This window comes from Homo sapiens, chromosome 1 (assembly GCF_000001405.40).
Source record: "Homo sapiens chromosome 1, GRCh38.p14 Primary Assembly".
NCBI lineage: Eukaryota > Metazoa > Chordata > Mammalia > Primates > Hominidae > Homo > Homo sapiens.
In genome coordinates this window covers 224119289-224133497 of record NC_000001.11, presented here as the reverse complement: position 1 = coordinate 224133497, position 14209 = coordinate 224119289, and the positions used below count along the sequence as shown (strand labels likewise).

Sequence of the window (14209 nt, the reverse complement as noted above, 5' to 3'; positions counted from 1 at the left end):
AATCTAGTGGCTATTAGAACCAAAGAAATTAGATAAATGAATGGATTACACATGGAAATATAGGCAGGAGATGATATGCTTTTGATGATAAAATTTAACTCCTTTAAACTTTTTAGCAATTTAAGAAATAACTCAGACATAATAAAATTATCTTAAAGAGGACTAAATTTAGTGGTGTTTAGTATACTCACAGGATTGTACAACTATCACCACTATCTAATTTCAGAATATTTTCATTACCACAAAATTAACTCCTGTAACCATTATCAGCCACTCCCATTCTCCCAGCCCCTGGCAATACTAATCTACTTTCTGTTTCTCTGGATCCACCTATTCTGAACATTCCAGATAAATGGAATCATACAGTAGCCTTATGTTTCTGGCTTCTTTCATTTAGCATAGTTTTCCAGGTTCATTCTTGTTGTAGCATGTACCTTTTTATTGCCCAATAATATTCCATCATGCAGATATATCATACTTTGTTTGCTCATCAGCTGATGGACATTTGGATTGTCTCCACTTTTTGGCTATTATGAATAATGCTGCTAAAAACGTTTGTGTACAAGTTTTTGTGCAAACATTATGTTTTCATTTCTTTTGGGTACTTATCTAGGAATGAAATTGGTGGCTCAGACAATAACTCTCTGTTTAACTTTTTGAGAACAGCCAAATTGTTTTTTCTTTTTTTTTTTTTTGAGACGGGCTCACTCTGTCGCCCAGGCTGCAGCACAATGGCACGATCTTGGCTCACTGCAACCTCCGTCTCCCAGGTTCAAGCAATTCTCCTGCCTCAGCCTCCTAAGAAGCTGGGATTATAGGCACCCGACATCATGCCTGGCTAATTTTCCTATTTTAGTAGAGACTGGGTTTCACCATGTTGCCTAGGCTGGTCTTGAACTCCTGACCTCAGGTGATCCACCTGCCTTGGCCTCCCAAACTGCTGGCATTACAGGCGTGAGCCATCACATCCGGCCTGAGAACAGCCAAACTGTTTTCTAAAGTGACTGCACCATTTTACATTCCCAACATTGATATATGAAGGTTCCAATTTGTCCACATCCTCCCCAACATTTTTCCATTGTAGCCATCCTAGTGGATATAAAGCGCTAGTGGATATAAATCTCGTAGTGGTTTTGATTTGCATTCCCCTGACGACTAATGATGTTGAGCACCTTTCATGTGCTTGTTGGCTATTACTTATCTTCTTTGGAGAAGTGTCTATTCAAATCCTTTGTCCTTTTTTTTGGAGACAGAGTCTTGCTCTGTCACCCAGATTGGAGTGCTGTGGCGCGATCTTGGCTCACTGAAACTTCCGCCAACGGGTTCAAGTTATTCTCCTGCCTAAGCCTCCTGAGTAGTTGGGATTACAGGCACCCGCCACCATGCCCAGGTAGTTTTTGTATTTTTAGTAGAGACAGGGTTTTACTATGCTGCCCAGGCTGGTCTTGAACTCCTGACCTCAGGTGATCCACCCACCTCAGTCCCCCAACATGCTGGGATTACAGGTGTGAGCCACTGCACCTGGCCCCTCTACCCACTTTTAAAATAGGTTTTATTGTTGAGTTGTAAGAGTTCCTCATATAATCTGGATACATGATTTACGCAGGTTTTCTCCCATTTTGTGGGGTGTCTTTTCATTTTCTTAACGGTGTCTTTTGAGCCACAAAAGTTTTACATTTTAAGTCCAATTTGCTTAATTTTTTCTTTTGCTACTTGTGCTTTTGGTGTCACTGCCTAATCCAAGTTCATGAAGACTTACTACTATGTTTTCTTCTAAGGGTTATATAGTATAGTGCTGACATTTACACTTAGGTCTATGATCCCTTTTGAGTTAACTTTTATATACAGTATGAGGAAGAGGTCCAACTTCATTCATTTTCAAGATAACTAGTTGTCCCAGCATCATTTGTTGAAAATACTATTCTTACTGCATTGAATTATCTTGACATCCTTGTTAAAATCAACTGATTAAAAATATAAGGTTTATTATCCAGACTTTTGCTTTTGCTTCTTTGATCTACAGGTCTATCCTTATGCCAGTGCCATACTGTTTTGATTACTATAGCTCTGTACTAAGTTTTGAAAGTGGGAAGTGTGAGTCTTCCAATACTGCTCTCCTTTTTCAAAATTGCTTTGGTTATTGTCAGACTCTTGTATTTCCACAGGAATTTTAGGATCAGTGTATCAAGTTTTGGGGAAAAAAAAAAAGACAGCTGAATTTTTGACAGGGGTTACAAAAAAAAAAGTCAAGAAACAAACAAAACATATTGTACCTTATTGTCAACCCCTATCACACTGAATGTGTAGATTCATCTGGGGAGTACCGTCATCTTAACAATATGAAGTCTTCAAATCCATGAACACAGAATGCCTTTCCACTTATTTAAGTCTTCTTTAATTTCTTTCAATGGTGTTTTGTAGTTTTTAGTATACAAGTCTTGTGCTTTTGTTATATGTATTACTAAGTATTCTATTCTTTTTGAAACTATGATAAAATGTTTTGAATTTCGTTTTTGGATTGTTCATTGCTAGTGTATATAAATATAATTGGTTTCTGTATATTATTCTTATATCCCATATCCTTGCTGAACTGGTTTACTAGCTTTAATAATCAATTAGTGCACTCCTTATCCACAAGATCATATCATCTGTGAACAGAGAGTTCTATTTCTTCTTTTCCCATTTGGATGCCTTGTATTTCATTTTCTTGCCTAATTTCTCTGGCTAGAACCTCCAGTAAAATGTTGATCACAAACGGTGAGAATGGACAAACCACTGCAGAAATCACATTGTGATCTTTGTGCCCTTTGCTATAAAAACTTGGGAAGCAATATGTAAACCATGAGACTGAAAAAAAGAAGTCAAGCAACAAACAAAACCAACTGTACATCATTGTCATTGCCACCCACAACATACCTTGGGAGTTGTGCTTTAACTTGTTTCTGACATAGATTATGGTACCTCTCCACTTTCAGAAATCCCTGATTCAACATTCTCTGGCAGACCAAGTCCATTCTTTTACAAACCTTCAAGGAGAAAAAAGAACAAAAATCAATAACCAAATTAATAAGAGACAACTGAGACTCATAACTGATGGCTTAAAGCTCTCTGTATCCCACTATTATTCCTCAGTTTGCTGTATATATCTTTTTTTTTGAGACGAAGTCTCACTCTGTCGCCCAGGCTGGAGTGCAGTGGTGCAATCTCAGCTCAGCACAACCTCCGCCTCCCAGGTTCAAGCGATTCTCCTGCCTCAGCCTCCCCAGTAGCTGGAAATACAGGTGTGTGCCATCATGCCTGGCTAATTTTTGTATTTTTAGTAAAGACAGAGTTTCACCATGCTGGCCAGGCTGGTCTCAAACTTCTGACCTCAAGTGATCTGCCCACCTTGGCCTCCCAGAATATTGGGATTACAGGAGTGAGCCACCACAGCTGGCCTGCTGTATGTAACTCTGATTCAGTATCTGTGGGTGAATCTCTCACACCATGTAATTTCTTTTTTTTTTTTGAGATGGAGTCTCACCCTGTCGCACAGGCTGGAGCGCAGTGGCGCGATCTTAGCTCACTGCAAGCTCCACCTCCTGGGTTCACGCCATTCTCCTGCCTCAGCCTCCTGAGTAGCTGGCACTACAGGTGCCCGCCACCACGCCCGGCTAATTTTTTTGTATTTTTAGTAGAGACGGGGTTTCACTGTGTTAGCCAGGATGGTCTCGATCTCCTGACCTTGTGATCCGCCTGCCTCGGCCTCCCAAAGTGCTGGGATTACAGGTGTGAGCCACCGTGCCCAGCCTCACACCATGTAATTTCTGAAATATCTCATTAAGAAATTAATACTATGTGCAGGCAAAAAAGTATCATTTACTTTAGGTGTTTGTTGGACATTCTGAATGTATTCCCATTATTATGGTCACAGACTATAGTCCTGAAGATCAGTAAAACAATACATTTAAAGGTTTTTTAATAGTTTGAAACAAAAAAAATTCTTTTTTAGTCAGAAATGTATCCATTTGAGTCTAACCTCTTACAAAGTTTATATGATCTATAACCAGAATGAGAATTATTACTTATTTCTTCTAGTGATCTGGCTTAACTATGGAGAGCTTATGATGGCCAAGGCCTTTATATTAGACACTGTATATCCTCCAAAATATCTTTTTGAGATGGAGTTTCACTCTTGTCACCCAGGCTATAGTGCAATGGTGTGATCTCAGCTCACTGCAACCTGTGCCTCCCAGGTTCAAGTGATTCTCCTGCCTCAGCCTCCTGAGTAGCTAGGATTACAGGCATGTGCCACCACGCCCAGCTAATTTTGTATTTTTAGTAGAGACAGGGTTTCACCATGTTGGTCAGACTGGTCTCGAACTCCTGACCTCAAGTAATCCATCCGCCTTGGCCTCCCAAAGGGTTGGGATTACAAGTGTGAGCCACTGCACTCGGCCCAAAATATCTTAGCATGTGTAGTAGAACATCAACTACTTTGAATCCTTAATATAGTTTTTTTTTTTTTTTTTTTTGACAGGGTCTTGCTCTGTTGTCTAGGCTGAAGTGCAGTGCCACGATCACAGCTCACTGCAGCATCCTATCCCTGGGCACAAGCAATCCTCCTGTCTCAGCCTCCCAAGTAGCTGAGACAACAGGTATGCACCACCCCGCGCAGCTAATTTTTAAAAAAAATTTTGTAGAGATGGGGGTCTATGTTGCCCAGGCTGGTCTTAAATTCCTGGGCTCAAGCAATCCTCTGCTTTGGCCTGCCAAAGTGCTATGGTTATAGGCATGAGCCACCATGCCCAGCCAGATATGGTGTTTTTATACAGTAAAAGCACAGGATCAGAAGTCAGAACAGCTAAATTTGAGTACAACTTATATGCATTCTTGTCCAAGTCATCTTACATTTGAAAACCTGAGTCAGCTACCTGTAAGACATGGATAATACCTAACCCATAGGATATCATTAGGATTAAACGAAACACACACTAAATCACTTGGTAAACTCTAAAGTGCTATATAAAATTGTTAAATAAACTTTGTTTATCTTAGTACTAATTTGAAAACTTTGTTTCATTTGTTATATTTCTGAGATATCCTAGCATCTTTCTTATCTTAATTAGATCTAGTATACAGAATTCCTTTGTGATTTGATCTCTAAGAATTCTGCAGCAACTGAGTCATCAACCTGAAGGTTAATTCTCACCATATGGGGTAGACGTTGCAGTACAAGACATGGACAGTTAAAAAAATAAAATAAAAAAAAATAATAATAATAATAAAAAAAGACATGGACAGTTAGGATCTGTCTTATGCTTCTTTCCATCTCTCATAGCACCCAAGCACAAACGATCAACAAATATTTGTTGAAACGAAATGCTGATGAAACTCTTGATGTAAGTTTGTTTTCTCCTGAGAACACAGGCCTGACAAAAATCCTGGCAAACTGGGTTGAAGCTCAAGAAGGCTTTAATATTCTAATATTAAAAACCAGATAACTTCCTAAAAGGGTATTAAGGAAAACTGTTCTTTTCAATTTCAAAATTAAAGCACAATAAACTTTAAGTACGAAGTAATTTCTAATAAATAATGTTTGTTTGTTTGTTTTCAGACAGAGTTTCGCTGTCACCCAGGTTGAAGTGCAGTGGCGTGATCTTGGTTCACTGCAACCTCCCTCTACCAGGTTCAAGCCATTCTCCTGCCTCAGCCTCCCGAGTAGCTGGGATTACAGTTGCGTGCCACCACGCCCAGCTAATTTTTGCATTCTAAGTAGAGATGGGGTTTCACCATGTTGGCCAGGCTGGTCTTGAACTCCTGGCCTCAGGTGATTTGCCTGTCTTGGCCCCCCAAAGTGCAGGGATTACAGGTGAGCCACCCTGCTTGGCCAATAATATGTTAAAATATGGTAGAATCTATTTCTAACTAAACTAAACCAGTTATCAGTATTTGTTCAGTGTCTACTGAAAAAAACAAAGACATAAACACAATACATATCAATATATGTAACTGCTTTTAACGAAAAGTAACTTTTTTCCAAAACAAAACATTTAGTGATTGGCCTTATTTTACATTTCTGCAAGGCTTTTTGATATGTGGTTTAACAGAACACAGGTCAATTTTCATACCTGTCTCTGCATTCAATCGACTGAGGTATTCTTACCTCAGAAAATTCTGGAAAACACAAGAACACACAAGTGCACGTTTCATTAGCTAACAGTGTGATGCCATCATGTCATCAAACGTCATGTGGCTACTGGAAAACTCCATGTATACTTGTGGAAAAAATAAGCGTGCCAAACATAAACACACACACACACACACACACACATACACACACACACACACACAAATACTTTACATCTTATGGACCCTGTGACAGGATCCTGGAAACCTCTCTGGGGTTTCTGGACCACACTTTGAGAACCAGTGCCCCAGTCCTGAATAATCACATGACCACAAACACCAGTACTGAACTTCATGTGGGGAAAAAAAAAACTTTTATGTTATTGAAGGAAAGAAAGGAATGAGGGCAACAGGGCTAACTTCTCAACTTATTAGGAAGTTAACAGATAATATCAAATAGAAGAAAATCAGCCGGAAGACTTGAAAGTGGTGCCTCTGGGGAATAAAAACTGGGGACTATAAAAACTATGTTTTGTTATTAAAACTATTTGATATTTTATTTTACTTATTTATTTATTTTTAGAGGGAGTCTTGCTCTGTTGCCCAGGCTGGGGTGCAGTGGCGTGATCTCGGCTCACTGCCACCTCCATCTCCTGGGTTCAAGCGATTCTCCTGCCTCAGCCTCCCAAGTAGCTGGGATTACAGGCGCCTGCCACCACACCTGGCTAATTTTTCGTAATAGAGATGGGGCTTCACTATGTTGGTTAGGCTGGTCTGGAACTCCTGACCTCAAGTGATCTCCTGCCTTGGTCTCCCAAAGTGCTAGGTTCACAGGCGTTGAGCACTGCACCCAGCCTATTTGATATGTTAAGTTATCAGATGAGTAGATAGTGGACTTAAAAATAAACTGAGGTACCCTCTAACACAACCTTGTAGAAAAACACTTCTTGTCTCTGTAGACTCTACAACCTTGTTGATAATTTCTGAGAAGAAATAATTTTTAGCAGCAATATATTTACAAAGACAAAAATTAAGGTCAATTACTGCTGTAACAATTTTCAAGGTTCAGTCAAAATTATTTTACTAGTTTTGCTGCACTGAATCTAGCTAACTTCTAGGGTTTAGATATCTTTCAATAATCTATAAACTCGAATATGAGTGCTGGCTAGTGTAGTATTTAAGTACTGGCTGGGTGATGAGAATAAGAATAACCAGATAGGCCCAATTAAGAAGATCTCACATGACAAAAGATTTGAATTAGGCTTTGAAGGAGGAGAGGGCAAAGATTGCTAAGTTAGATGTAATGGTGTATGCAAAGGCACAAAGTCTGGAATGAACAAACCATTAGCAAGCAAACTACTTCCGAAGACAGATGAGATGTGTGGGCCAAGCTGAGAGGAATAAAATTTCCCATGTTTTGAGTCGAGAAATCAGATAAATAACTTTAAAAAGAGAATGAATGGCCGGGAGCAGTGGCTCACGCCTGTAATCCCAGCACTTTGGGAGGCTGAGGTGGGCAGATCACTTGAGGTCAGGAGTTTGAGACCAGCCTGGCCAACGTGGTGAACCCCCAAATAAAAATTAGCTGGGTGTGGTGGCAGGCGCCTGTAATTCCAGCTACTTGGGAACCTAAAGCAGGAGAATCGCTTAAACCCGGAAGGTGGAGGTTACAGTGGTCCGAGACGGCACCAATGCACTCCAGCCTGGATGACAGAACGAGACTCCGTGTCAGAAAAAAAAAAAAAAAGAGAATGAGTATCCTTCTGCAGAAGTTGGACTTAATAAACAAAAAAGAAGAAAAGAAAAGGAAAAGACCACCCATCTTTTGAAAGATCTGGTATTGGGAGAGCTGGCTGGTCATTTTCTGCAAGCGCTATCATACCAGGACTAAAGACGTGGTTCTGGAAATTTCACTGGAGATAGTGAAATAAATGTACATGAACCCCAAATGAAGTGAAAGATAAGAGAAAAAGGCCTATAAATGGAGCCTCAACTGACATTTATAATTAAAAGCTGATAAAAAGATTAGAGAATAGGAGGTCACAAAGATGGACAAATTAGAATGACACTACACAAGCCAACATCAAAAAGATTTTAAGCATAGCCAGGTACAGAGGCATGAGCCTGTAGTTCCAGCTTCCCAGCTACTTGGGAAGCTGAGGTGGGAGGATCACTTGGGCCCAGGAGTTTGAGGCTGCAGTGTATGATGATCACACCTGCACTACTCCAGCCTGGGCAACATAGCAAGACCTCCTCTCAAAAGAAAAAAAAAAAAAGAAAAATTATTTTAAACATTAGGCAATATTGTAAGGAAAGAACAGTATTTAATGTGGTAGTTTTCCTGTATGTTCAAATGTTCAAGAAGCACTGACTAACCAACAGCACAAAAACACAAGAGATCATACATCTTTCGGCTGGGCGCATCAGCTGAGGTTAGGAGTTCAAGACCACCTGGTCAACAGGGTGAAACCCCATCTCTACTAAAAATACAAAAATTTGCCAGGCATGGTAGCCGGCGCCTGTAATCCCAGCTACTTGGGAGGCTGAGGCAGGAGGGTCGCTTGAACCTGAGGTGAAGGTTGCAGTGAGCCAAGATCACGCCACTGCACTCCATCCAGCCTGGGTGACAGAGCGAGACTCCATCTCAAAAACGAAACAATACAACAAAAGAGACCATATAACTTTTGTTTAGGATTCAGAAAGAAGTCACATCTGGAAAAAAGAAATATACTAAATTTCCCCAGGACAAGCAGTTTAATGATAGCTGCTGATAATGTATGCTAACTTGTAACTCAAATTTTCTCATTTAAAGTGTAGCTCTAAATTTAGGAGTATTTTAATAATTTCCCAAAGCTAAAGGGAAGAAATTTTATTTCCCTAGTAACTACAACCAAACAAAAATCCTAACAATTTGGCAATTTACCCAAGACAGTAAAATAAAATCCTGAAGCCTAATATATGGAGCCTAAAGATGATGACCATGTCAAAAACTATCAGGGCACTGAAAGATTAGGAAAAGTATATACTATAAAAACAAAAGGGAATGAATAGAATAAATCACTGAAGAACAAAGATATAGCTTGGGCTCCTGTTACTCACTGTTCTACTGTAAGAGAATAAATGTAGTTTTCTTAGTTGTGGTCAGTAATGAAAAATTTTCTTTGTTTTTAGATTTGTTGTGCTACCATGGTCCTTCTTAATAATGCAAGACACATAGGCTATACATTTGTGAAATGTGATTTTCCTGTTTAATCTTTAATATCAAGTCTTTTTTTGTTTGAGATGGAGTTTTGCTCTCGTTGCCCAGGCTGGAATGCAGTGGTGCAATCTCCACTCACTGCAACCTTTGCCTCCCGGGTTCAAGTGATTCTCCTGCCTCAATCTCCCAAGTAGTTGGCATTATAGGCACCTCCCACCACGCCCGGCTAATTTTTTGTGTTTTTAGTAGAGACAGGGTTTCACCATGTTGATCAGGCTGGTCTCAAACTCTTGACCTCAGGTGATCCACTCGCCTCAGTCTCCCAAAGTGCTGGGATTACAGGCATGGGCCATCATGCCTGGCCTCAAGTCTTAACTGATTGTTTTACAAAAATTTTTATTTATTTAAGTCTTAACTGATTCTAAGATGCACATTTTTAAACATTTGACAGTGGAATAGACCTACGATATATAATGTCTTAGCATTATAATTGGCGGCATTTTTTTCTTAGATGCCTTGAAATATGGTATGCTCAACTCCTTCGATTTTAAGATGCTGTAGAGACTTTGAGACATGCTACCAACTTAATAAAAACTTTTCTGGGAAAAAAAAGGCACCACCACGATAATATACATACAAATTGATCAAGATGCACTGATTTCAAAAATGTTAAATATGAGACCCTTATATCTTAGAATCATGGAAATATTGTATTGGAACCCAATTTTTTTTTTTTTTTTTTTTTTTTGAGACAGGGTCTCCCTCTGTTGCCCAGGCTGGAGTGGAGTGGCACGATCACGGCTTACTGAGGCTTCCACCTCCCTGGGGCTCAGGCAATCCTCCCACCTCAGCCTCCTGGGCTCAAGTGATCCACCCACCTCGGTCTCCCAAAGTGTTAGGATTACAGGCATGAACCACTGCGCCCAGCTGGAACCCAGTTTTAAAATGTATTCATTATTGTGTAAGATAAACAGAGAACCAAAATAAATAAATAAAATGTATTAGTTTGGCACTCTACAGTTCTTAAATGATCACAAGCTGATTAGGCTGCTTGTTAAGACTCCAGAACTGAAAGGAACTTAAAGACATCAGAACCTATCCTTTTTTTTTAAAGTGAGAAAGCTGAGGCCTTAAGAAATTATGTGATTTGTCCAAGGTCATCCAGCTATTCAGCAGCAAAAGGGAAACTAAGAATCCAGGTCTTCTAATTTGTGCCATTTTAAACTTGGTGACCCACAGCTATATAACCTGAAATAATTATCCTATTTATTTCAAATTGATTAGAGTCCCAACTGATACTCTGCTGTTATAGAACTGCTGGCACTACTCTAAAAGGTAGGACTTCTTGAGGTAATAAGGGATTTTTAAGGACATTAACAGGCATTCTCACCACACTGCTAAAGGTTAGACAGATGGAGCTAGCGCAAGACCTTCCTATAATCCTTCCAAAGTTCAAAATCCTGAAGTCAATCACAAGGAAAAAATTAGACAAATGTGAATTACAGAACCATTACAAGCCATCTGGCCTAGTCTTCAAAAAGTCAATGGCATTCATTGTGTGTGTTGGCGGGGCTTGGGGGGGGCTGTAAAAAAAAAAAAGTCAATGGCATGAAAGAATGAAAAAAGTGGGGACAATGTTCTAGATTAGAGAACAATCCTTAATTAGACTGAATAAACCCGCCTCAAAGAGCTATAAAGAACATTTTGGGGACAACTGAGAAATCTGAATACAAACTGTAATGTTAAATCCCCTGGAAATGAGGATATTGTGATCACATTATAAAAAGTACTTGGGGCAAAATATCAGTATTTTCATCTTACTTTCAAATGGTTTGGTAAAATAAGAATGTTCCTGGGATAGATGCACACATACACACATTCAGGAGAGAGAAAATGAGCACAAAAGTGAAACAGATAAAGCAAATGTGGCAAAAAGTTAATGATGGACGAAAAAATCATTTAAAAAATGAATAATGAACGAATCACAACCATTCTGGCTCTTCTCTTGTCCTGTTTGTGTTTTCAGTGAACTCATCTTAATTTCCCTCACCTAAATATGGATACAACTTCCCACCTCTTCCAAAAGAATACTTTAATCTTTAAAAAAAATTCTATTTGGGGCCAGGCAGTGGCTCACGCCTGTAATCCCAGCACTTTGCGAGGCCAAGGCAGGTGGATCACGAGGTCAGGAGTTCAAGACCAGCCTGGCCAAGATGGTGAAACCCTGTCTCTACCAAAAATACAAACATTAGCCAGGCGTGGTGGTGCAGGCCTGTAATCCCAGCTACTCGGGAGGCTGGGGCTGGAGAATCACTTGAACCCAGGAGGCAGAGGTGGCAATGGGCCGAGATCGTGCCACTGCACTCCAGCCTGGGCGACAGAGCGAGCGAGACTCAGTCTAAAAAAAAAAAATTCTATTTGGAGCTGAGGCAGGAGAATCACTTGAACCTGGGAGGTGGAGGATGCAGTGAGCCAAGATCGCACCACTGCACTCCAGCCTTGAGACTGTCTCAAAGAAAAAAAAAAAGTTCTATTTGCCCAAGTGTGGTGGCTCACGTCTGCAATCCCAACACCTAGAGAGGCCAAGGCAGGAGGACTGCTTGAGGCCAAGAGTTTGAGGCTGCAGTGAGCTGTGATCTCACGACTGCACTCCAGCATGGGTGACAGAGCAACTCTCTTCTACCTACTGCCTAAGATCACACCACTTGTATTACTATATTGTGTGTGTTGTGAATATACTACACATATATATGTATATGAAATTCTCAATTATCTGCTGGTAGAATTACAACAAATTTTAGATTCTCTGCGTATATACCCTAGATATTCACTTGGAAAGAAAATATAAATTCATTTTAATTTCAGTCTAAGTATAACAATTAGGAAGAATTTCTTCTTAGGATTCCTATAATGCATCCTAACCACCACATAAAAAAGCCTTTTGGATTGTTCTCAGTTTTTGATTATCTGTACCATTATTTTTCTCATTAATAAATCAATTAAATGTTGACTAAAACAAAGGAACCCTGATGCACTATTGCAAATGGCTATCTTGTTAATTACATACTGGCTTCAGATCAGTGTATCAATCAATTTTAATAACTCCTAAGAGTTTTCTTTAGTCACTCATTTTCTTAAAATGGTCTTGTAAAATGTTAAAGACATTCTAGGGTGAATGAAAAATGTAAAAAAAAAAAGTTCTAATCTCCTCTCTTGGAAGTAAATATTAAGCAACTGATTTTGTAACACTATTATAGTTTATACAGAAAACATTTATCTTACAATGACATACATTTTCTTTTCTTTCTTTCTTTTTTTTTTTTTTTTGAGATGGAGTTTCGCTCTTGTTGCCCAGGCTGGCGTGCAATGGCATGATCTCGGCTCACTGCAACCTTTGGCTCCCGGGTCCGAGTGATTCTCCTGCCTCAGCCTCCTGAGTAGCTGGGATTACAAGTGCCCGCCACCATGCCCAGCTAATTTTTGTATTTTCGGTATAGACGGGGTTTCACCATGTTGGTAAGGCTGGTCTCGAACTCCTGACCTCAGGTAATTCACCTGCCTCAGCCTCCCAAAGTGCTGGGATTACAGGCGTGAGCCACCACGCCCAGCCCTACAATGACATATATTTTCTATTGTTTATTCAGAGCAGTGAAATGGTTTTTAAGAGCTACTTCATTTATTCAATAATTACTGAGTACTTATATTGCATCACAGACTAAGGTAATTGGAAAACAGGCTCCTCCAAAGATAATTCCAATGTAGTAAGTGCAATAATGATGCAATGGAAACTTAGAAATATTACCTACATAAAGTTCAGAGAAGAATTATAGAATGAGGTATATGCCAAAGGTACAAATATTTTCTAGGAGAGCGAAACAGGAAAAAGCATGTGTTTGCAGAGGCCCAAGATATTTGGGAAACTGAAGAGCTTGATGTTTGTTTCAATCAATCTTAAGTACAAGATGCTAGAAGTAGGTGTTTAAGGGAAACCTCTGTTAAAGGTTATCTTTTGCTCCCAGTCTCAAAAATTATGAAATTGGATTTATATGCACAGGTCATCCTTTTAACATAGTATCTTCTTCAATTTTGTAAGAATTCATACTACTCAGTTTATCAAGGTATGCAGATATATCTGGTGTCTTTTAAGAAATGATGATGATACGAGACGGAAGTTGTTTTGTTTTTTAAAATGCCCTTATTTGCTCCACCCACCAAAAGATGTCAGCCCTGGAGGTTCTCAAAAACAGTTTCTTAAATCTGACTGGTCTGTGAAATAAAAAAGCTGGGGAGACAGGAGGACAGGTGACCACTAATCTAGAACATTAACAATTTCACATATCCAAATTCAAGTTTATCTGAATCCCTCTAAGTCATTCTTCTCCAATCACTTCAATAATTTACACATCGTTTTTTTTCTGCTGGGAATGCTCTTCTACCTTTATTAACTGGATAAAAACTTATTATCTTGAGGAGGTCTTTCCTGATTAAGTCCTAATCAACCTCAACACTCATATTTACCATCTTTGCATTTGTTATCCTGATGCTGTGTAAGTGTGCTCAAGGAAGGTATGTATATTTTCTCTTGATGACGACACAGTGGACAGAGTTACTGACTGAACCTCTTTACTTTGTGAGAACTGGAAGAACGAACTGCCCCCAAGAGATTATAATTTCTTACCTGTACTTATGCACTCATTAATAAAATCAATAGCCTGAAGAGATGGTGGGAGAAAAATACAAGAAAAAATCAGTGGGGCCGGGCACGGTGGCTCATGCCTGTAATCCCAGCACTTTGGTAGGCCGAAGCAGGCAGATCATGAGGTCGGGAGATCGAGACCATCCTGGCTAACACGGTGAAACCCCGTCTCTACTAAAAATAAAAAAAAAAAATTAGCCGGGCGT

General features: G+C 39.6%; 1 protein-coding gene across 3 annotated transcripts in view; it reads right to left on the bottom strand.

Annotated features, from left to right (window-relative positions):
- FBXO28 (F-box protein 28) overlaps nt 1-14209 on the bottom strand; it is a 47937-nt gene that overhangs the window by 28550 nt on the left and 5178 nt on the right. For all 3 annotated transcript variants that reach the window (NR_049764.2, NM_015176.4, NM_001136115.3), the window contains exon 2: nt 2917-3026. Coding sequence is in view for 2 of the 3 variants with exons in the window: in NM_015176.4 (NP_055991.1) it covers nt 2917-3026 (110 nt within the window). In the remaining variant the exon portion in view is untranslated. The remainder of the gene's footprint in view (nt 1-2916; nt 3027-14209) is intronic.